Source organism: Homo sapiens, chromosome 2 (assembly GCF_000001405.40).
Source record: "Homo sapiens chromosome 2, GRCh38.p14 Primary Assembly".
NCBI classification, from domain to species: Eukaryota; Metazoa; Chordata; class Mammalia; order Primates; family Hominidae; genus Homo; species Homo sapiens.
In genome coordinates this window covers 189,700,436-189,722,219 of record NC_000002.12, presented here as the reverse complement: position 1 = coordinate 189,722,219, position 21,784 = coordinate 189,700,436, and the positions used below count along the sequence as shown (strand labels likewise).

The 21,784-nt window shown below is 39.1% G+C and overlaps 1 protein-coding gene across 24 annotated transcripts in view; it reads right to left on the bottom strand.

Moving 5' to 3' along the window:
* Positions 1-21,784, bottom strand: part of ANKAR (ankyrin and armadillo repeat containing) — an 88,390-nt gene that overhangs the window by 40,840 nt on the left and 25,766 nt on the right. For 22 of the 24 annotated variants that reach the window (XR_922865.3, XR_001738640.2, XM_011510676.3 and 19 more), the window contains 5 exons: positions 16,996-17,197; positions 15,074-15,282; positions 11,067-11,171; positions 2,407-2,648; positions 1,433-1,601 (listed from right to left, as the gene is read on the bottom strand). Coding sequence is in view for 22 of the 24 variants with exons in the window: in XM_011510676.3 (XP_011508978.1) it covers positions 1,433-1,601; positions 2,407-2,648; positions 11,067-11,171; positions 15,074-15,282; positions 16,996-17,197 (927 nt within the window). In the remaining 2 variants the exon portion in view is untranslated. The remainder of the gene's footprint in view (positions 1-1,432; positions 1,602-2,406; positions 2,649-11,066; positions 11,172-15,073; positions 15,283-16,995; positions 17,198-21,784) is intronic. The other 2 variants (XM_011510675.3, XM_024452719.2) reach the window with 2 other exon arrangements.

The window sequence follows — 21,784 nt, the reverse complement described above, 5'->3', positions numbered from 1 at the left end:
TTACAGGCGTGCACCACCACACCCAGCTGATTTTTGTATTTTAGTAGAGATAGGGTTTCACCATGTTGGCCAGGCAGTCTCGAACTCCTGACCTCAGGTGATCTGCCTCAGCCTCCCAAAATACTGGGATTATAGGTGTGAGCCACCACGCCTGGCCTCTGATGCTATTCTTAAAGGATAAAGTAGAGCATAGTAAGCGATGGAAGAACACTTGAACAGAGAGAGCATAAGGAATTTGTTATGAAGGAAGAGGGCTTTCAAATGATGTCACCACACGATAGAGGTTCTTAGAAAGTGACACTTGCTTAAATTTGAAGTTTTAAAGTAAAGGAAAGATCGCTTCTACATTCCCCTTATTCTTAATCTTGACTTACATTTAACCAATATATTTATTTTGTATTTATTCCTGGTGAACTGGAAGAGGAAGCCAAATGATATACTGAGCAGGAAGAAAATGAGCAAGTTCTTCTCAATTTTCTCTTCCCCCAAATTTGGGGAAAACCGTATATTTGGAACTTACCTGTTAAATGTGCTAACTGGAATGAAATTATTCTTACAGAACCCAGGAGACCATTTGCAGTAGCTGCTGAAACTGCCTCATGGCTTTTGATGTTCTTGGTACTGAGACGCACTTTAGGAACTGATAATTGGCCTAATGCTTCCTGATAACCTTGAATTTTGACGTCAAATATCTAACAAATCTGAAGCCCTTGTTGTCACTTGCAAAATAGCTACCCATGATCAATATGTTACTATCAATATGTACTATTCACCCAAGGTAGCATATACTCTCCTAGGCATATTATATGTATTTTTAAAATCATCCATGCCAATATTTCCATTGATAAACATGTCTAATTAAACTTTTTTAAAGAATATGCCTTTGAGAGTCAATTATTTTTATAAGCCCAGCAGTTTAAATTTAATCATTATCTGCCAGGCATGGTGGCTCATACTTGTAATCCCAACACTTTGGGAGGCTGAGTCGGGTAGATCACAAGGTCAGGAGTTTGAGACCAGCCTGGCCAACATGGTGAAACCCTGTCTCTACTAAAAATACAAAAATTAGCCGGACGTGGTGGTGCATGCCTGTAATCCCAGCTACTCAGGAGGCTAAGACAGAAGAATTTCTTGAACCCGGGAGGCGGAGTTTGCAGTGAGCTGACATCACACCACTGCACTCCAGCCTGGGCGACAGACTGAGACTCTGTCTTGAGAAAAATAAAATATAAATAAATTTAACTGTATCTACATAGTTTAGCAGTTAGGAAAAATAAATAAATTGTGTTTTGGATATTAAGGTTATATTACACGTTTAGATCTATTCAAACACAGATTCGGGACATCTATTCATATAGGACAAGTCCAATCCCATGTTTGCTTCACTTAATATATCTGGTCATTATAAAATAATACAGAGATAGAAGCTCACCTGAATCAGAACTCAGAAATCTGATAAGATATGGGAGGCCTTTATGTTCTCTCACAGCTCTTTGATTGTTTTCATTTCCTATACACAATACCCGTATACAGTTCATTACATTTACTAGCACATTTTCTATGTTTAAGTTCAATAGATTTATCAGGCTTGGGATTCCATTCTAAAAATAAACAAAAAAAATTACATTTGAATTTGTTTAAGATAAATGTAATCTTTATTTAGAAATACAAGTTGGCCGGAAGTGGTGGCTCACGCCTGTAATCCCAGCACTTTGGGAGGCCGAGGCAGGCGGATCACAAGGTCAAGAGATCAAGACCATCCTGGCCAACATGGTGAAACCCCATCTCTACTAAAAATACAAAAATTAGCCAGGCGTGGTGGCACGTGCCTGTAGTTCCAGCTACTCGGGAGGATGAGGCAGGAGAATCACTTGAACCCACGAGGCAGAGGTTGCAGTGAGCCAAGATTGCACCATTGCACCCCAGCCTGGTGACAGAGCAAGACTGTTTCAAAAAAAAAAAGAAAAAAAGAAACACAAGTCTGTAATCTTTCTTGCTGTAAATAACTATTTGGGAGAGAATGAGTGCCACAAACAAATGTGTCTACTGATAAGATACATTATGTGACAGTTAATATAGCTATCTAAGTGAAGCAAATGAGATTAATTGAATATATTGCCCCATTAGGAAATATTTGCCATTGTAGACACTGCACTGTAATTGGTAAACAGCAAGAAGCAATCAACATACACTAACTTATGAAAATACTCCCTCATCTACTTCTGGACCGTACTCAAATGCCAACTTTTCGGTGGAGTTTTCATCAGGCACCCTCTCTCCCTTTTCCCTGCTGTATTCTTCCCTGAGAGTTTTGTCACTGAATAGTAACGTGGGTTTCTATTTTTGTAACTTCTATATGAGGGAGTTATTGTCAGTCAAAAATAATTGTATATGAAAGGAACTTACATATTTGGCAATAACATCCTTGTTTTCACATTGAGCAATATCATATAGAATGACAGCACAGCGAGAGTGTACTTCAGGCTCATCACAAACCAGTAGGTTGATTAGAGATGGAATGCCTCCCGCTTCTACCAAAGCATGCACTGCACTTTTGTGGGTTGAGATATTACTCAATAACCCAACAGTTTTGCACTGCAGTTTTATTTTGGAACTTTTTAATAGATTGATTAAGGCAGGAATGGTGCCTGTAATGACAAGAGCAAAAAAATTAAAAAGCATGAATTATTGGTAACCATTTGTAGTCAATTTATCATGGCAATATTTAAATAATATTTATGGGCATTGCAATATAAATAATTATGAAATAATTCTATAAAATATTTATAAAATTATCATTTGAAACTACATGAAGAAACCTTCCATCTTGTCTTTGGTATGGGCAGCTCTCATTGTTCATACATTTGATTTTCACAGAGCATGATCAAACATTTTATATTAGTAACCTTAAGCCACCATTGAAACACTGAATTCTGGCTTCAGATTATTGATAAATAAATTCTTTGTGCTACCATATGGTACAGGTCAGTTTTGGTTATTGCATCAACTTCGCATGGCACTGCTTATGCAATTATTTGAGTATTTTATTATATTTTATCCTTATTTTATACAAGGATGTGAAAAACAAAAAGTGCTGAATCTAGTAAAATGCAACATTAGTCTCATTAATTACAATAGGCTCAAAGATAGAAATTAGCCATAGTGAAAATAGGCCGGGCGCGGTGGCTCACGCCTGTAATCCCAGCACTTTGGGAGGCCGAGGCGGGTGGATCATGAGGTCAGGAGATCGAGACCATCCTGGCTAACAAGGTGAAACCCCGTCTCTACTAAAAATACAAAAAATTAGCCGGGCGCGGTGGCGGGCGCCTGTAGTCCCAGCTACTCGGGAGGCTGAGGCAGGAGAATGGCGTGAACCCGGGAAGCGGAGCTTGCAGTGAGCCGAGATTGCGCCACTGCAGTCCGCAGTCCGGCCTGGGCGACAGAGCGAGACTCCGTCTCAAAAAAAAAAAAAAAGAAAATAGAAAATCTGGCTTCAGGTGGATGCCTGTTATACTTACATCAATTTAATGATAAATAGAAAGCACCTTATAGGACATGCACAAAATGACAGAAAATATAATAGATATAATAAAGACCTTATTTATTTAGCTGTCTGAAATGAAACATCCCTCATGACTTCTTTAAGTTCACCTTTTGGATACAGAGCTTTTTGTACAGGTTTTCAGGAACATATCAGGGGACTATCTATGATCAATCAAATTTTAATTTATTCATTTAATATTTCTGGAGCATCTCACGTGAGTTCAATAACCACATTAGGGTAGTGGCTACCATATTGGACATTTTCAAATAGAACATTTTCTTTGTGTGTGTGTGTGTGTGTGTGTGTGTGTGTGTGTCTGTGTGTAGATAGATAGCTAGACAGACAGATAGACAGACAGATAGATATATAGATAGATATAGATAAAGACAAAGACAGGGTCTCACTATGCTGCCCAGACTGGTCTCAAACTCCTGGGCTCAAGCTATCCTCCTGCCTTGGCCTCCCAAAGTGCTGGCATTACAGGCATGGGCCACCATGCCCAACTGAACATTTTCATCATTTCAGAAAGTTATTCTGGACAGTGCTATTCTCAAAACAATCCTATGGGGTAGAACTATTTTATTTTTTTATTATACTTTAAGTTCTAGGGTACACGTGCACAATGTGCAGGTTTGTTACATAGGTATACATGTGCTATGTTGGTTTGCTGCACCCATTAACTTGTCATGTACACTAGGTGTTTCTCCTAATGCTGTCCCTCCCCCTGCCTCCCACCCCAGAACAGGCCCTGGTATGTGATGTTTCCCACCCTGTGTCCAAGTGTTCTCATTGTTCAATTCCCACCTATGAGTGAGAACATGTGGTGTTTGCTTTTCTGTCCTTGTGATAGTTTGCTCAGAATGATGGTTTCCAGCGTCATCCATGTCCCTGCAAAGGACATGAACTCATCCTTTTTTATGGCTGCATAGTATTCCATGGTGTATCTGTGCCACATTTTCTTAATCCAGTCTATCATTGATGGACATTTGGGTTGGTTCCAAGTTTTTGCTATTGTGAATAGTGCCACAGTAAACCTATGTGTGCATGTGTCTTTATAGCAGCATGATTTATAATGCTTTGGGTATATACCCAGTAATGGGATTGCTGGGTCAAATGGTATTTCTAGTTCTAGATCCTTGAGGAATCGCCACACTGTCTTCCACAATGGTTGAACTAGTTTACACTCCCACCAATAGTGTAAAAGCATTCCTATTTCTCCACATCCTCTCCAGCATCTGTTGTTTCCTGACTTTTTAATGATCTCCATTCTAACTGGTGTGAGATGGTATATCATTGTTGTTTTGATTTGCATTTCTCTGATGGCCAGTGATGATGAGCGTTTTTTCATGTGTCTGTTGTCTACATAAATGTCTTCTTTTGAGAAGTGTCTGTTCATATCCTTTGCCCGCTTTTTGATGGGGTTGTTTTTTTCTTGTAAATTTGTTTAAGTTCTCCGTAGATTCTGGATATTAGCCCTTTGTCAGATGGGTAGATTGCAAAAATTTTCTCCCATTCTGTAGGCTGCCTGTTCAATCTGATGGTAGTTTCTTTTGCTGTGCAGAAGCTCTTTAGGTTAATTAGATCCCATTTGTCTATTTTGGCTTTTGTTGCCATTGCTTTTGGTGTTTTAGTCATGAAGTCCTTGCCCATGCCTATGTCCTGAATGGTATTGCCTAGGTTTTCTTCTAGGGTTTTTATGGTTTCAGGTCTAACATTTAAGTCTTTAATCCATCTTGAATTAATTTTTATATAAGGTATAAGGAAGGGATCCAGTTTCAGCTTTCTACATATGGCTAGCCAGTTTTCCCAGCACCATTTATTAAATAGGGAATCCTTTCCCCATTGCTTGTTTTTGTCAGGTTTGTCAAAGATCAGATGGTTGTAGATGTGTGGTGTTATTTCTGAGGGCTCTGTTCTGTTCCATTGGTCTATATCTCTGTTTTGGTACCAGTACCATGTTGTTTTGGTTACTGTAGCTTTGTAGTATAGTTTGGAGTCAGGTAGCGTGATTGCTCCAGCTTTGTTCTTTTTGCCTAGGATTGTCTTGGCAATGTGGGCTCTTTTTTGGTTCCATATGAACTTTAAAGTAGTTTTTACCAATTCTGTGAAGAAAGTCATTGGTAGCTTGATGGGGATGGCACTGAATCTATAAATTACCTTGGGCAGTATGGCCATTTTCACAATATTGATTCTTCCTATCCATGAGCATGGAATGTTCTTCCATTTGTTTGTGTCCTCTTTTATTTCATTGAGCAGTGGTTTGTAGTTCTCCTTGAAGAGGTCCTTCACATCCCCTGTAAGTTGGATTCCTAGGTATTTTACTCTCTTTGTAGCAATTGTGAATGGGAGTTCACTCATGATTTGGCTCTCTGTTTGTCTATTATTGGTGTATAAGAATGCTTGTGATTTTTGCACATTGATTTTGTATCCTGAGAGTTTGCTGAAGTTGCTTATCAGCTTAAGGAGATTTTGGACTGAGACAGTGGGGTTTTCTAAATATACAATCATGTCATCTGCAAACAGGGACAATTTGACTTCCTCTTTTCCTAATTGAATACCCTTTATTTCTTTCTCTTGCCTGATTGCCCTGGCCAGAACTTCCAACACTATGTTGAATAGGAGTGGTGAGAGAGGGCATCCCTGTCTTGTGCCAGTTTTCAGAGGGAATGCTTCCAATTTTTGCCCATTCAGTACGATATTGGCTGTGGCTTTGTCATAAATAGCTCTTATTATTTTGAGATACATTCCATCAATACCTAGTTTATTGAGAGTTTTTAGCATGAAGGGCTGTTGAATTTTGTCAAAGGCCTTTTCTGCATCTATTGAGATAATCATGTGGTTTTTGTCGTTGGTTCTGTTTATGTGATGGATTACATTTATTGATTTGCGTATGTTGAACCAGCCTTGCATCCCAGGGATGAAACCGACTTGATCATGGTGGATAAGATTTTTAATGTGCTGCTGGATTCAGTTTGCCAGTTTTTTACTGAGGATTTTTGCATCGATGTTCATCAGGGATATTGGTCTAAAATTCTCTTTTTTGTTTTGTCTCTGCCAGGCTTTGGTATCAGGATGATGCTGGCCTCATAAAATGAGTTAGGAAGGATTCCCTCTTTTTCTATTGACTGAAATAGTTTCAGAAGGAATGGTACCAGCTCCTCTTTGTATCTCTGGTAGAATTCGGCTGTGAATCCGTCTGGTCCTGAACTTCTTTTGGTTGGTAGGCTATTAAGTATTGCCTCAATTTCAGAGCCTGTTAATGGTCTATTCAGAGATTCAACTTTTTCCTGGTTTACTCTTGGGAGGTTGTATGTGTCCAGGAATTTATCCATTTCTTCTAGATTTTCTGGTTTATTTGTGTAGGGGTGTTTATAGTATTCTCTGATGGTAGTATGTATTTCTGTGGGGTTGGTAGTGATATCCCCTTTATCATTTTTTCTTGTGTCTATGTGATTCTTCTCTCTTTTCTTCTTTATTAGTCTTGCTAGTGGTCTATCAGTTTTGTTGATCTTTTCAACAAACCAGCTCCTGGATTCATTGATATTTTGAAGGTTTTTTGTGTCTCTATCTCCTTCAGTTCTGCTCTGATCTTAGTTATTTCTCACCTTCTGTTAGCTTTTGAATGTGTTTGCTCTTGCTTCTCTAGTTCTTTTAATTGTGATGTTAGGGTGTCAATTTTAGATCTTTCCTGGTTTCTCTCTCTCTCTCTTTTTTTTTTTTTTTTTTTTGTGAGATGGAGTCTCACTCTGTCGCCCAGGCTGGAGTGCAGTGGCATGATTTTGGCTCACTGCAAGCTCCGCCTCCGGGGTTCATGCCATTGTCCTGTCTCAGCCTCCCAAGTAGCCGGGACTACAGGTACCCACCACCACGCCTGGCTAATTTTTTGTACTTTTAGTAGAGACAGGGTTTCACTGTGTTAGCCAGGATTGTCTCCATCTCCTGACCTCGTGATCCGCCCGCCTCAGCCTCCCAAGGTTCTGGGATTACAGGCATGAGCCACCATGCCTGGCCAATTCCTGCTTTGTCTTGTGGGCATTTAGTGCTATAAATTTCCCTCTACGCAGTGCTTTAAATGTGTCCCAGAGATTCTGGTACATTGTGTCTTTGTTCTCATCGGTTTCAAAGAACATCTTTATTTCTGCCTTCATTTCGTTATTTACCCAGTAGTCATTCAGGAGCAGGTTGTTCAGTTTCCATGTAGTTGTGTGGTTTTGAGTGAGTTTCTTAATCCTGAGTTCTATTTTGATTGCACTGTGGTCTGAGAGACAGTTTGTTGTGATTTCTTTTCTTTTACATTTGCTGAGGAGTGCTTTACTTCCAACTATGTGGTCAGGTTTGGAGTAAGTGTGATGTGGTGCTGAGAAGAATGTATATTCTGTTGATTTGGGTGGAGAGTTCTGTGGATGTCTATTAGGTCTGTTTGGTCCAGAGCTGAGTTCAGGTCCTGAATATCCTTGTTAATTTTCTGTCTTGTTGATCTATCTAATATTGACAGTGGGGTGTTAAAGTCTCCCACTATTATTGTGTGGGAGTCTAAGTCTCTTTGTAAGTCTCTAAGAACTTGCTTTATGAATCTAGGTGCTCCAGTATTGGGTGCATATATATTTAGGATAGTTAGTTCTTCTTGTTGCATTGATCCCTTTACCATTATATAATGCCCTTGTCTCCTTTTTAATATTTGTTAGTTGAAAGTCTGTTTTATCAGAGACTAGGATGGCAACCCCTGCTATTTTTTTGCTTTCCATTTGCTTGGTAGATCTTCCTCCATCCCTTTATTTTGAGCCTATGTGTGTCTCTGCACATGAGATGGGTCTCCTGAATACAGCATACTGATGGGTCTTGACTCTTTATCCAATTTGCCAGTCCGTGTCTTTTAATTGGGGCATTTAGCCCATTTACATTTAAAGTTAATATTGTTGTGTGTGAATTTTATCCTGTCATATGATGTTAGCTGGTTATTTTGCCCATTAGTTGATGCAGTTTCTTCCTAGCATCGATGGTCTTTACAATTCAGCATGTTTTTGCAGTGGCTGGTACTGGTTGTTCCTTTGCATGTTTAGTGCTTTCTTCAGGAGCTCTTGTAAGGCAGGCCTGGTGGAGACAAAATCTCTCAGGATTTGCTTGTCTGTAAAGGATTTTATTTCTCCTTCACTTATGAAGCTTAGTTTGGCTGGATATGAAATTCTGGGTTGAAAATTCTTTAAGAATGCTGAATATTGGCCCCCACTCTCTTCTGGCTTGTAGATTTTCTACCAAGAGATCCACTGTTAGTCTGATAAGCTTCCCTTTGTGGGTAACCTGACCTTTCTCTCTGGCTGCCCTTAACATTTTTTCTTTCATTTCAACCTTGGTGAATCTGACAATTATGTGTCTTGGGGTTGCTCTTCTCGAGGAGTATCTTTGTGGTGTTCTCTGTATTTCCTGAATTGAATGTTGGCCTTCCTTGCTAGGTTGGGGAAGTTCTCCTGGATAATATCCTGAAGAATGTTTTCCAACTTGGTTCCATTCTCCCCTTCACTTTCAGGTACACTAATCAGACGTAGATTTGGTCTTTTCATATAGTCCCATATTTCTTGGAGGCTTTGTTCATTTCTTCTTACTCTTTTTTCTCTAAACTTCTCGCTTTATTTCATTAATTTGATCTTCAATCACTGATACCCTTTCTTCCACTTGATCGAATCGGCTATTGAAGATTTTGCATGCCTCACATGGTTCTCGTGCCATGGTTTTCAGCTCCATCTGGTCATTTAAGGTCTTCTCTACACTGTTTATTCTAGTTAGCCATTCATTTAATCTTTTTTCAAGGGTTTTAGCTTCCTTGTGATGGGTTCGAATATCCTGCTTTAGCTCAGAGAAGTTTGTTATTACCGACCTTCTGAAGCCTACTTCTGTCAACTCATCAAAGTCATTCTCTGTCCAGCTTTGTTCTGTTGCTGGCAAGGAGCTGTAATCCTTTGGAGGAGAAGAGGTGCTCTGGTTTTTAGAATTTTCAGCTTTTCTGCTCTGGTTTCTCCCCATCTTTGTGGTTTTATCTACCTTTGGTCTTTGATGTTGGTGACCTACAAATGGGGTTTTGGTGTAGATGTCCTTTTTGTTGATGTTGATGCTATTCCTTTCTGTTTGTTAGTTTTCCTTCTAACAGTCAGGTCCCTCAGCTGCAGGTCTGTCGGAGTTTGCTGGAGGTCCACTCCAGACCCTGTTTGCCTAGAAATCACCAGCAGTGGCTGCAGAACAGCAAAAATTGCAGAACAGCAAATATTGCTGCCTGATCATTCCTTTGGAAGCTTCGTCCCAGAGGGGCACCCGCCTGTATGAGGTGTCAGTCGGCCCCTACTGGGAGGTGTCTCCCAGTTAGGCTACAAGGGGGTGAGGGACCCACTTGAGGAGGCAGTCTGTCCATTCTCAGAACTCAAACACCATGCTGGGAGAACCACTGCTCTCTTCAGAGCTGTCAGACAGGGACATTTAAGTCTGCAGAATTTTCTGCTGCCTTTTGTTCAGCTATGCCCTGCCCCCCCAGATGTGGGGTCTACAGAGACAGCAGGCCTTGGTGAGCTGCAGTGGGCTCTGCCCAGTTCAAGCTTCCCGGCCGCTTTGTTTACCTACTCAAGCCTCAGCAGTGGCGAATGCCCCTCCCCCTGCCAGGCTGCTGCCTCGCAGGTCAATCTCAGACTGCCGCGCTAGCAGTGAGCAAGGCTCCATCAGTGTGGGACCTGCCGAGCCAGGCACGAGATATAATCTCCTGGTGTGCCATTTGCTAAGATCATTGGAAAAGCACAGTGTTTGGGCATGAATGCCCCGTTTTTTCAGGTACAGTCTGTCACAGCTTCCCTTGGCAAGGAAAGGGAAATCCCCCAACCCCTTGTGCTTCCCAGGTGAGGCGATGCCCTGCACTGCTTCAGCTCACCCATGGGCTGTACCCACTGTCCAATCAGTCCCAGGGAGATGAAGCAGGTACCTCAGTTGGAAATGCAGAAATCACCTGTCTTCTGCGCCGATCATGCTGGGAGCTGCAGACCGGAGCTGTTCCTATTTGGCCATCTTGGAACGGACCCCAGTAGAGCCATTTTATTAGTGAGTAAAGTAAACTAAGAGAGGTTAAGCAATTTTCTTAAGTTCTAAATGCAGAGGTAGTTACAAACCAGACCTGACACTAAATCTGCTATTTTTAATTTCAAAAGTAAATTGTGCAAATTACAGAATAGGAATAATTTCTAAATGAAAGTAAGTATAAAAGTAGTGTGGTAAAGTAATTTAACATTTAAATTAACACTTAACATTATTTTTTAATTTTTCGAGCTTTTAGACAAATAGAATTGATAAAGTTTTTTGATCCTGTGCAGCTTCCATGTGGAAAATAAAATATATGGTTGACAGGTAAATGAAGTGATCTTAGCAAAAGAAACTGAAAATCAACTAAAATTTTTCCTTTACAATTAAAAATATATTTAAAAATGACTGATGAATAAAATATAGCTCTACATAAAATAGCATAAAAAGTTATTAATAGAGTTTGCATCACCTGCATCCAAAATACATCTCCAGTATTGATCATTTGCTAAGCAAATTACTTCCAAGGACATGACGGCCATCATCCTTCGTTTATAGCTTTCACACTGTAACATTTCTGTTAAGTGTTCAACAGAAAAACACAGCTGTAATTTGCACAAAAGGCAATGAAATGCTTGATTCTGTTTTTTGTACCAGCTAAATAAAACCAACAGTTGAGGTCACCACTATTACCACCAACTGCATGCATTAAATTCCCCTCTGTGCACAGCTCCCTATGAAGTACTGACAAATTCCATCAGCCCGTGATCTTTGAGGTTTATAGTCTATATAATTAGTGAAAAAATCCTGAAATTTCTTTTTTTGAAATGGGGTCTCAGTCTGTTGCCCAGGCTGGAGTGCAATGGCATGATCACAGCTCACTGCAGCCTGGATCTCCCTGGGCTCAGGTAATCTACCATCTCAGCCTTCCTAGTAGCTGAGACTACAGGTATGCACCACCACACCTGGCTAATTTTTGTATTTTTTTTGCAGAGACAGCATTTTGCCATGTGGCCCAGGCTGGTCTCAAACTCTTGGGTTCAAGCAATCCACTTGCCTTGGCCTCCCAAAGTGGTAGGATTACAGGCATGAGCCACTGTGCCTGGCTGAAATTTTTAATCTTTGGTCTGAATGACTTAGATTGGCTGGTCACATACTTCAAATTCCGTTGGAAAATAATACAACTCCCTCGGCTAAAATTAATTGTTAAATAAAATTTGAATGTGGGTTTTCAAGAATAGCAAAGTAATCCACAGTATTGTCAATAAAAATTTCATATCCATTAAATTAGGTATGAGGCTTTATACATTTCCCGAGTATAAAAAAGATACTTTAAATAAAATCTTGGATGAACTTGTACTACAGACAGAGGATATTACAAATATACACACAGGAAAAAACACACAGACTATCTTTTCCTCATCTCTTTAGCCAGCCACTCTATTACCAAATCTGTCCTGAATCTAGCTTGGCTATATCATTCCGTGACATCCTCTTTTAAAATTCAGCTTCTACTCCAAGAACTAATCCTGAGACCTCTAATAAACTGATTTTTCTTTTATGCGTAGTGGAAATGGGCAGTGTGAGGAGGGAGAGCTATTGCAGGGCCCAAGGCAAAACAGCAGTAGCCAGATGCTCACTGTTGTTTGTTCTGTTTGTGTCATTGTCAGGACTTCCCCCACAATGGCTGTAGGAAGCAGCAGCCCTGGTGAATTTTTATGCGCTTTTAGGCCATTCCTGTTAGGGGGCAGAGCTTCCTACTATTAAGGTAGGTTTTTACAATGATTTAGTTTAGTAAAAGTAACAGGATGGTCCTCTCACTTCCTCCTAACAAGACAACGAAATGATACAAATGCATGCAAATAAACACTGAAAACACTTTCCAATATCTCTTGGGGCTCATATCCAGTATCTGGGATATGTTCCCAGTACCTAGTAAATTCCAACGTCAGGTATTGAGCCAGACTTCTTGAATCAGTAGAATGGGGTTGAAAATCTTAAACATATTTTATCCCATCCTAAAATGAGTTGTTGGAAAAAAATCATTCTCATTCTCCAATTCATTTCTCTTTTTTGGCTTTAGTTTTTTATTTTTATCAAAGTAATGCATGTGCATGATTCAGAGTTAAATGTTATTAAATGGCCTATAACAAAACCTAGTGGTTCCTGGGCCCCACCCTCCCCACTTTTCTGTGTTCATCACTCCATATACAATCGGTTTGGACTCTTCCCTATAACCTTCTATGATTTATAAATCTCCTTATTTCTACATATTTATATACACTGCTGTGTTTTGCTACATTGATTTAGACTTCATTGACTTCATGTTATGAAAAATGGGAAATTAACTCTTTCAACGTTGCTCTTTCCTCTTACTTCCCTTTCTCCATATTTATAGCTTTTAGTTAAATACATGATGATGTCTATACAATTATTATTCACAGCTGAGCACTGTAATGTACTATGGTCGTGTCTCTTTTTTTTTAAACAGGTAATTTCCTTATTTATTTATTTATTTATTTATTTTGAGACGAAGTCTCGCTCTGTCACAGGATGGACTGTAGTGGCACGATCTCGGTTCACTGCAACTTTGCCTCCCAGGTTCAAGTGATTCTCCTGCCTCAGCCTCCCGAGGAGCTAGGACTACAGGCACGTGCCACCACGCCCAGCTGATTTTTGTATTTTTAGTAGAGACAGGTTTTCACCATGTTGGCCAGGATGGTCTCTATCTCTTGACCTCGTGATCTGCCCGCCTTGGCCTAATAATTTCCTTATTTTACAATAGTCTCCCCTTATCTGCAGAGGATACATTCCAAAACCCCCAGTGGATGCCTGAAACGGAGGATAGTACTGAACCCTGTATATACTATTTTTTTTCCTAGACAGATGCTTCTCAACTTACGATTTGGTTATTTCCTGATAAACCCATTGTAAGTTGAAATATTGTAAATTGAAAATGCATTTGTAAACCTAATCTGCCAAACAGCATAGCTTAGCCTAGCTTAACTTAAATGTGCTTGGAATAACTACATTAGCCCACAGTTTGGCAAAATGATCTAACACAAAGCCCATTTTATAATAGAGTGTTTAATAACTCATGTAATTTATTGAATACTGTACTAAAAGTGAAAAACAGAAATGGTTGTATGAGGACTGTAAGTACAGTTTCTTCCGAATGTGTATCACTTTTGCACAATTGTAAAATCAAAAACCTTAAGTCAAACCAGACTGTCTGAACATACATATCTATAATAAAGTCTGTAGGCATAGTAATAGCTTAACAATAACTAATAATAGATTACAACAATATATAATAATAGAAGTTATGTGAATGTGCTCTATGCCTCTCTCTCAAAATATCTTTTTGTACTGTACTGCAGGTAACCAAAACCACAGAAAGATAAACTGCTGAGAAGGGAAGACTGCTGTATTTCATCTGCTTAGTTTTCCTTGTACCTACTGATAATTCCTCCCATTTTTTTCCTCTAGACTGGATGCACAGTTCCATTCTGGAACTTCCCCTTGCTGTCTTCCTTGAAATTCCCTATGCTTTACGCTTGGGTAAGGCTCCCAGTTTCCCGGGTCCCTCTCCTTTCTATTTCTGAAGGAGAATTCTAGCCTTGGCATCTTTAGGTCTTTCCTAGTTAGGCTTTGAGGAGAGCACTCCTAACGGGCACTGTCAGTTCTCAAGCCTTTTGAGGATTTATGGTATGAGTCCAAGGGGTTCTCAGCTTTCCCACTGTTGGCTTGGAATGATTTTCTCTGGCTGGCTAAGTCCTAAGTCTTGCCTATCTGTTTCCATCTTCCAATAGTTTATTGCTGTTGTATCCTTTCTTGTTTTCCCTTGAATGCTTGTCTTCTGCTGGTGGTATTAATAATGTTTAATCTCCATGTAATTTTAGTGAGGGCCTTGAAAGGGAGTAAAATTAGACATGTCCATATAATTGGCCTAGTGACCCTTACCCTTATTTTGGCTAGACTGAATGCAAATTTGAAAAAAAAAAAAAAGAAAGAAAATAAAATCTCCAGCAGAATTCTTCACAAAACATTCATCAAAATATAACAAAAGATTTTGCTAAATTTGTCTCTAAAATTAGGAGGCAAGGAATAAGTTGGAGGGAATATTTTTCACTTAAAATTTCCTCTTTCCTTTTTTTTTTTTTTTTTTTTTTTGATGAAGGAGAGGATGTTTGAACTTCTGGAGAAAGTTGGAAAATAAAAATAAATATAATTGTGTAAAATATAGTCTGGGTCACAGATCTTTGATTTTAACATGGAAATAAAACTACGTTTGCACACACAAAAATGCAGCTCTTTATTATTCATATTTTTATTTCTGGTCTTAATAAAATGTTTATTTCATGATTTTTAAATATTTAAAATATAATGCATGTATTATTTTATTTTCTCTCTTTCAGAGTATCAATAACTAAACTGAATAATAATCAGAACATGTATTTATAAAGAGATTATACTCACCTACCAAAGTTTTCCACACTGGGAGTTCAGGAATATTTAATTTTATTATATATTTGAGAACCTCTGTATGAAAGGTTAACACTGATAAATGGATTATATTATTTCCTTTAATATCTGTTTTTCTCCAGTTAGCACCGATAGAAAACAGGTATTGAATAGTGTCCAGTGCTCCTGAAGTGGCAGCAAGTAACAGTGGAGTGCACTGATTCCTAAAAATTAAGAAACATAACAATTAAACACGCATAGAGTGTCAAATTTACTTTTTGTAAAACTATTCAAGCTGCAATTGGAGGTAGTCTGACTTACACCACCACCTTCTATTCTTAGGAATTCTCATCTTCCGTATTCTACATGTAAATGGATTTGCCTCCTTTGCCATGCCATCCTTACTATGGGACCCTACCCACCTCCCCAACTTAATTATCATGCCTTATAATTTGTTTGGAGGATGATAACGCACAAAGTTCTTACAATACACTATCCTATCTAAGCCTTACAACTACTCCGTAAGTGAAGGAAAAAGCAAGGCAAATATCATCAGCCATTTTGCAAATCATGTAACTGAGGCTCAGGAATTAATTACACCCATTACTTCATGTCCAGTTTTCAAATCCCAGCTTCCTCATTGTGGCAGAAACTAACAGTTTTGCTCGAAAACCCATTATCTGATTTTTAGATAGTAAAGATATTTTGTTTGGCTATCCAGTGCAATATTACATTTCCCAGCTTCTTTTGTTGTTGTTGTTGTTGTTGTTGTTGTTGAGATGGAGTCTCACTCTGTCACCCAGGCTGTAGTGCAGTGGTGTGACCTCAGCTCATTGCAGGCTCTGCCTCTCGGTTCAAGTGATTCTCATGCCTCAGCCTCTTGAGTAGCTAGTATTACAGGCATGGACCACCATACCCGTTAATTTTTGTATTTTTAGTAGAGACGGGGTTTTGCCCAGGCTGGTCTCGAACTCCTGACCTCAAGTGATCTGCCTGCCTTGGCCTCCCAAAGTGCTGGAATTACAGGTTTGAGCCACCGCACCTGGCCTCTTCTTTCTTCTCATGGCTAGACATGATGGTGAAAGCAGGAGTTGCCATCTGAGGGACACCAGCTTCCTCTGGTGGCTTCCACATGTTAAGAGCAACAAGAGGAAGCTGGTGTCCCTCATACTGTCAAGCCATCATTATACTAGCCCTAGACCACTGAATAATAGTGGAAAGGTTACTCAAAGACCTAGAAAAACTTGAATGAAACTATGCCTAAATCAGGTTCAGAGATCCAAAGTAATGACCTGGCCTTTAGATTTCTAGCCAAGGATGTACCTTCAGGAGAAGTTACACCTTTACCCTAAATACTGATCCGCAGCTAAAATGTGAAACAAAAGATTGTTGGGATTTTTTAATTTCAAAGTTATTTTATTCTTTTTAATGTATTTCTTTTCCAGATACCACTAAATATTTCTCCTGTAATCCAAAGTCCATCCGCTTTGATCTGAAGTCCTAGGGCTGCCTCCTGGTTGTGTAGGATCCAGTTTGGAGCAACCCTCTCCTCCCTAGTCTCAGGCTTCTTCCAGGGCACTAAGCAAAGCATTTAACATGAAAAGTTAATCTGCAGAACCATACTACTGGAACAAGGTTAGGAAAAACTCCCTGGGGATTAGTCCTTATTCTTCCAGAAAACATGCATAGGTTAATAGAAGCTCTCGCCTTTATAAATTCTAATGATAAGTGGTTAGGACGAGACAGTGAGTAGAAAGGATAGCAGAGTAAGCCTTACATACCTTTCAGATCACCCACACCTATCACCTTTTAGTGGCAGTGTGTGTGGCAAGCCATGAAAAGCAGAAATTTATATTCTATTTAATTTTCTTTCTTCTTTTTTTTTTATTATTGCCTAGACATCAACCTCAACCTGATATAAATGCTTAATGACTTACTCAGCTGTTGCCTCAGCTTCTAGCAAACTAGGATCCTTCCTACAGAGAGCAATAATGATGCAAACGTTGTCATAGAAAGCGGCAAAGTGAATCGGCATCCAGCCTCTTTTTTCAGAAAGCGTGTAATCAGCTTTGGAACACAGTAGACAAACTGTTGTTTCTAATGAGCAAGCCTGTGCAGCAAGGTGTAGAGGTGTTGGACCTAGAATGGATGGACAATTACTTCAGTGATCACAGCACTACCATTCCTAAAAAAAACCTAAATGCCTTATTGATATCCAGCCACAGAGCTTAGTATTGTATGATATAAAATCTCCAAAGTAAGCATTAAAAAAAAATTTAGACAACCCTATATTCCTTTATTTAACTCAGGATTAAAAATCCCAACCACTAAAAATCCATACTTGGAAACAAAAAACAAAAATTTTTAAAAATCCATATTTTTTTATAAGCAAAGAAAAATGAGTAACATTTAAAATATTAAATATTTAAAAAAATAAAATAAAATGTTAAGTATTTGAAAATTTAAGTCAATGTGTAAAATAGTCTTATGGTAAACTATTTCTTGTTTATTTTCCATTTTACTCATGTTTTTTAGTTGAAGATAAGATCCTTTGAAATTAAAATTATATATATATATATATATATATATATATATATATATATATATATATATATATGTTAACAAAGGCCTCAATGTCACTAAATCCAATGGGCATTTTTCTTTTATTTTTTCCATTGTATATAGATATTTATTATGTGGGTAGAGTCCCAAAAATGGGCTGGGCGCAGTGGCTCATGCCTGTAATCCCAGCACTTTGGGAAGCTGAGGTGGGTGGATCACCTGAGGTCACGAGTTTGAGACCAGCCTGGCCAACATGGTGAAACTGGGGTCTACTAAAAATACAAAAAAAATTTAACTGGTCATGGTGGTGCGTGCCTGTAGTCCTAACTATTTGGAAGGCTGAGGCAGGAGAATCGCTTGAGCCTGGGAGGCGGAGGTTGTAGTGAGCAGAGATCATGCCACTGCACTCCAGCCTGGGCAATAGAGCGAGACTCCATCTCAAAAAAAAAAAATTCCCAATAATGAGAGTTACTGGGTAAAACTGTATAATTATCAACAGCATCATTATTACTGGTAATATATATTGCCAAATTATTCTCCCAAAGCATAATAGCAATTCATACCTTTACTACCTGATATGGTTTGGCTCTGTGTCCCCACCCAAATCTCATCTCGAATTGTAATCCCCAAGTGTTGAGGGAGAGAGGTAACTGGATCATGAGGGCAGTTCCCCTATGCTGTTCTCATGATAGTGAGTGAATTCTCACTAAAGTCCAACTGTCATTTTTCAATTCTCATCTTACTTATTTCTCAGTAGTATTTTACACCATTGACCACTTCTTCCTATTTAAAATAATTTCTTCCCTTGGCTTTTGTGATATCACACTCCCAATTTTTGTCCAACCCTACTGGTTACACCTTGGCAGTCTCCTTTGGAACCTTCTCATTGTCCTAATATCCAAATGAACTTTAAGGCTCAATCTTGGGCCTTTTTCTCTTCTTAGTGGCTTTGCTTACCATATACAACTTGATGACTCCAAGGATTATGTCTCTAGATCTGATTTCTTCTGATTTGCAGATCTATATCTTTGACATCTTGTAAAGCATCTTCACACATCCCCTCAAACTTAATGTATTCAAAATTGAACTACTATCCTTCCCTCCAAACCTGGTTCTCTTTTATTGCTTCCTAAATCAGTGAGAGATATGATGATCCAGCCAGTTGTACAGACCACAAATCTGGAAGACTCTTTGGCACCTCCCTCTTATTTCCTTCTCCATAACCAGCCCATCACCAAGTCTAAAAATCTCTAGAACCCATCTCTACCACCACCACCATCCTAATCCAAGCCATAATCATCTCCCAACTGCTATCCCCATCTTGTTTTGCCCTTATCCAACCCAGTTTTTCAAAACATAAATCTGATCTTTTCATCTCCTTGTTCAATGGCTTCTCAAGGCCATCTGATTATGAGGAACAGTGACAGGATCCACTGGCTCCAACTTAACTTGAAGCACCAGCTACAACTACCTTCTTCATCTACCTCCCAATAAAACCATTCATACCTTGTTCTCCTCATTCTGGCTTTCTTGTAGCTCCCCAAATGTAGCATAATCACACGCCCCAGGTTACCCAGGAAAGTACTGGTCAATGTCTGTTGCACTAGCATAATTATTAATAGTGCACTTTCACTTTCAAGTCTCCTTGATTTGAATGATGAATTATCTGTCCACCCTGGACTATTCCTGCTCTCTGACACCTTCCTTCTCCCAAACAATTCCTCCCTTACCGATCTAGCTAACTCCTAATCATTTCTCAGTTTAAAAGATATTTCCTCAGTGAACCACTGTTTTCATTACATCTCTCCCATCAGAAACTTCCAGTGTCCTCCTACCTGCCTTCATAGTGGGAGCTTGATATTATAGCCTTAATAGTCTATAAAATCTGACCCAAATCTATTTATTTAAAATTATTGTTTAGTCTTCCAGTTTCTGGTCCGGCATTTAAGGAGCTTAGAAGTTACCATTTCATCCTAACAACAAGTAAAAAGCTGAACCAACCCTAAAGAAATCAACAGCCCTTAAGTTTGTCAGAGAAGTGAGGTAATGGGCAAACTGATACCCTCAAAATTGGAGAGACAAATGGATTCAGAGAATCATAACTCAGTAGAGCAGAAACTCACAAGCAGGAACTTCCTAAGGAATCATTACTGGAGTAAGAAAACCTTAACATTAATTCACAATTGCTAGAAGCTCAATGTGGACAAGTATGAGAGTTAAAAACTCTAGAAGGATCCATCATAGTGGGGCCCCATGCTTTCATGTGTTTTACCTCTAGGAGTTTTATCAAGTCCTCACAGTGAATATTGAAGAAAAATCCCCTCATACTTCCAGCAGGGGGAGGGAGAAAAGGAACCATTTTGAAATACTCCAGGGCATTCTGTTCTTAACAAGACCTGCTCTCAAGAGAAACTACTTTACCAGAGCCTAACCTATTGGGCTTTTATCAGACCCTAACCTGCTGGGGTTTTATCAGAACCTAACCTACCTAGGCAAGGGAAATGCCCAACTCCAGTCCCCTCTAACCATCCTGGCTGGCCTAAGGGACAGGGGGAGAGGACTGAGAAGCACTGGTGAAGTTCAAAGTACAGGGACGCAGGCTCACCAAGAGACTGAGATATAATCATAGGATGATAGAATGCTTCTCCCCCCATACCTTACCATCACATTATTAAAGGCCTATTTAATATAGTTTCTTTTACCCAATACATCAAGTTCAGCTATCAAGAAAAATTTAGAAGGCATATTTAAAAAGCAAAAAACACAGTTTAAAGAGACAGAGCAAGCATCGGAACCAGACATGGCAGGGATGTTGGAATGATCAGACAGGGAATTTAAAACTATGATTAATATGCTAAGGGTTCTAATGGATAAAGTAGCCTGCAAGAACAGATGGGCAATATAAACAGAGAGATGGAAATCCTAAGAAAGAACCAAAATGACATGCTACAGATAAAAAACACTGTAAAAGAAATGAAGAATGCCATTAATGAGCTTATAAAGAGATTAGACGCAGCAGAGGAAGAAATCTCTAATCCTGAAGATATATCAGTAGAAACCTCCAGGCCAAGGCACAGTGGCTCACTCCTGTAATTCCAGCACTTTGGGAAGCCAAGGTGGGAGGATTCCTTGAGCCCAAGAGTCTGAAACCAGCCTGGGCAACATAGTGAGACCTCATCTCTACAAAAAAATAAACAAAATTAGCCAGCCATGGTGGCATGGGCCTGTAGTCCCAGCTACTAGGGAGGCTGAGGTGAGAGGGTCACTTGAGTGCAGGAGGTAGAAGCTGGAGTAAGCTAAGATCATGCCACTGCACTCCAGCCTGGGCAATAAATACCCTGTCTCAAAAATAAAAATAAAAATAAATTAAAAAGTCTAGGGGGAAAAAAGAACAGAAAGAGAAGAAAGAGAGAAAGGAAAAGAAGAAATATTTAAAACAATAATGATTGATAATTTTTCCACATTAATGTGACATATCAAACCACAGATTTGGTAAGCTCAGAGAACACCAAGCCAAATAAATGTCAAAGCAAACAAAAAACTACACCGAGGCATATCGTTTTCAAATTACAGAAAAACAAAGATAAAGAAAATAATCCTATTTACTGCAGCACTATTCACAATAACAAAGATTTGGAAGCAACCTAAGTGTCCATCAATAGATGAGTGGATAGAGAAAATTTATCCATTCAGATGGATACACAATGGAGTAGTATTCAGCCATGAAAAAGAATGAGATCCTATCATTTGCAACAACATGGATGGAATTGGAGGTCATTATGTTAAGTGAAATAAGTCAGGCAAAGAAAGACAAACTTTGCCTGTTCTCACTTATTTGTGGGAGCTAAAAATTAAAACAATTGAACTCATGGAGATACAGAGTATAATGATGGTTACCAGAGGCTGGGAAGGGTAGTGGGGGGAAGTGGGGATAGTTAATGGGTACAAAATAGAAAGAATAGATAAGACCTAGTATTTGCTAGCGCAACAAGGTGACTATAGTAAAAAAAATTAATTGTATATTTTAACATAACTAAAAGAGTATAACTGGATTATATGTAACACAAATAAAGGATAAATGCTTGAGGTGATGGATACTCTACTCTGATGTGATTATTATGCATTGCATGCCTGTATCAAAAAATCTCATGTACTCCAAGTATA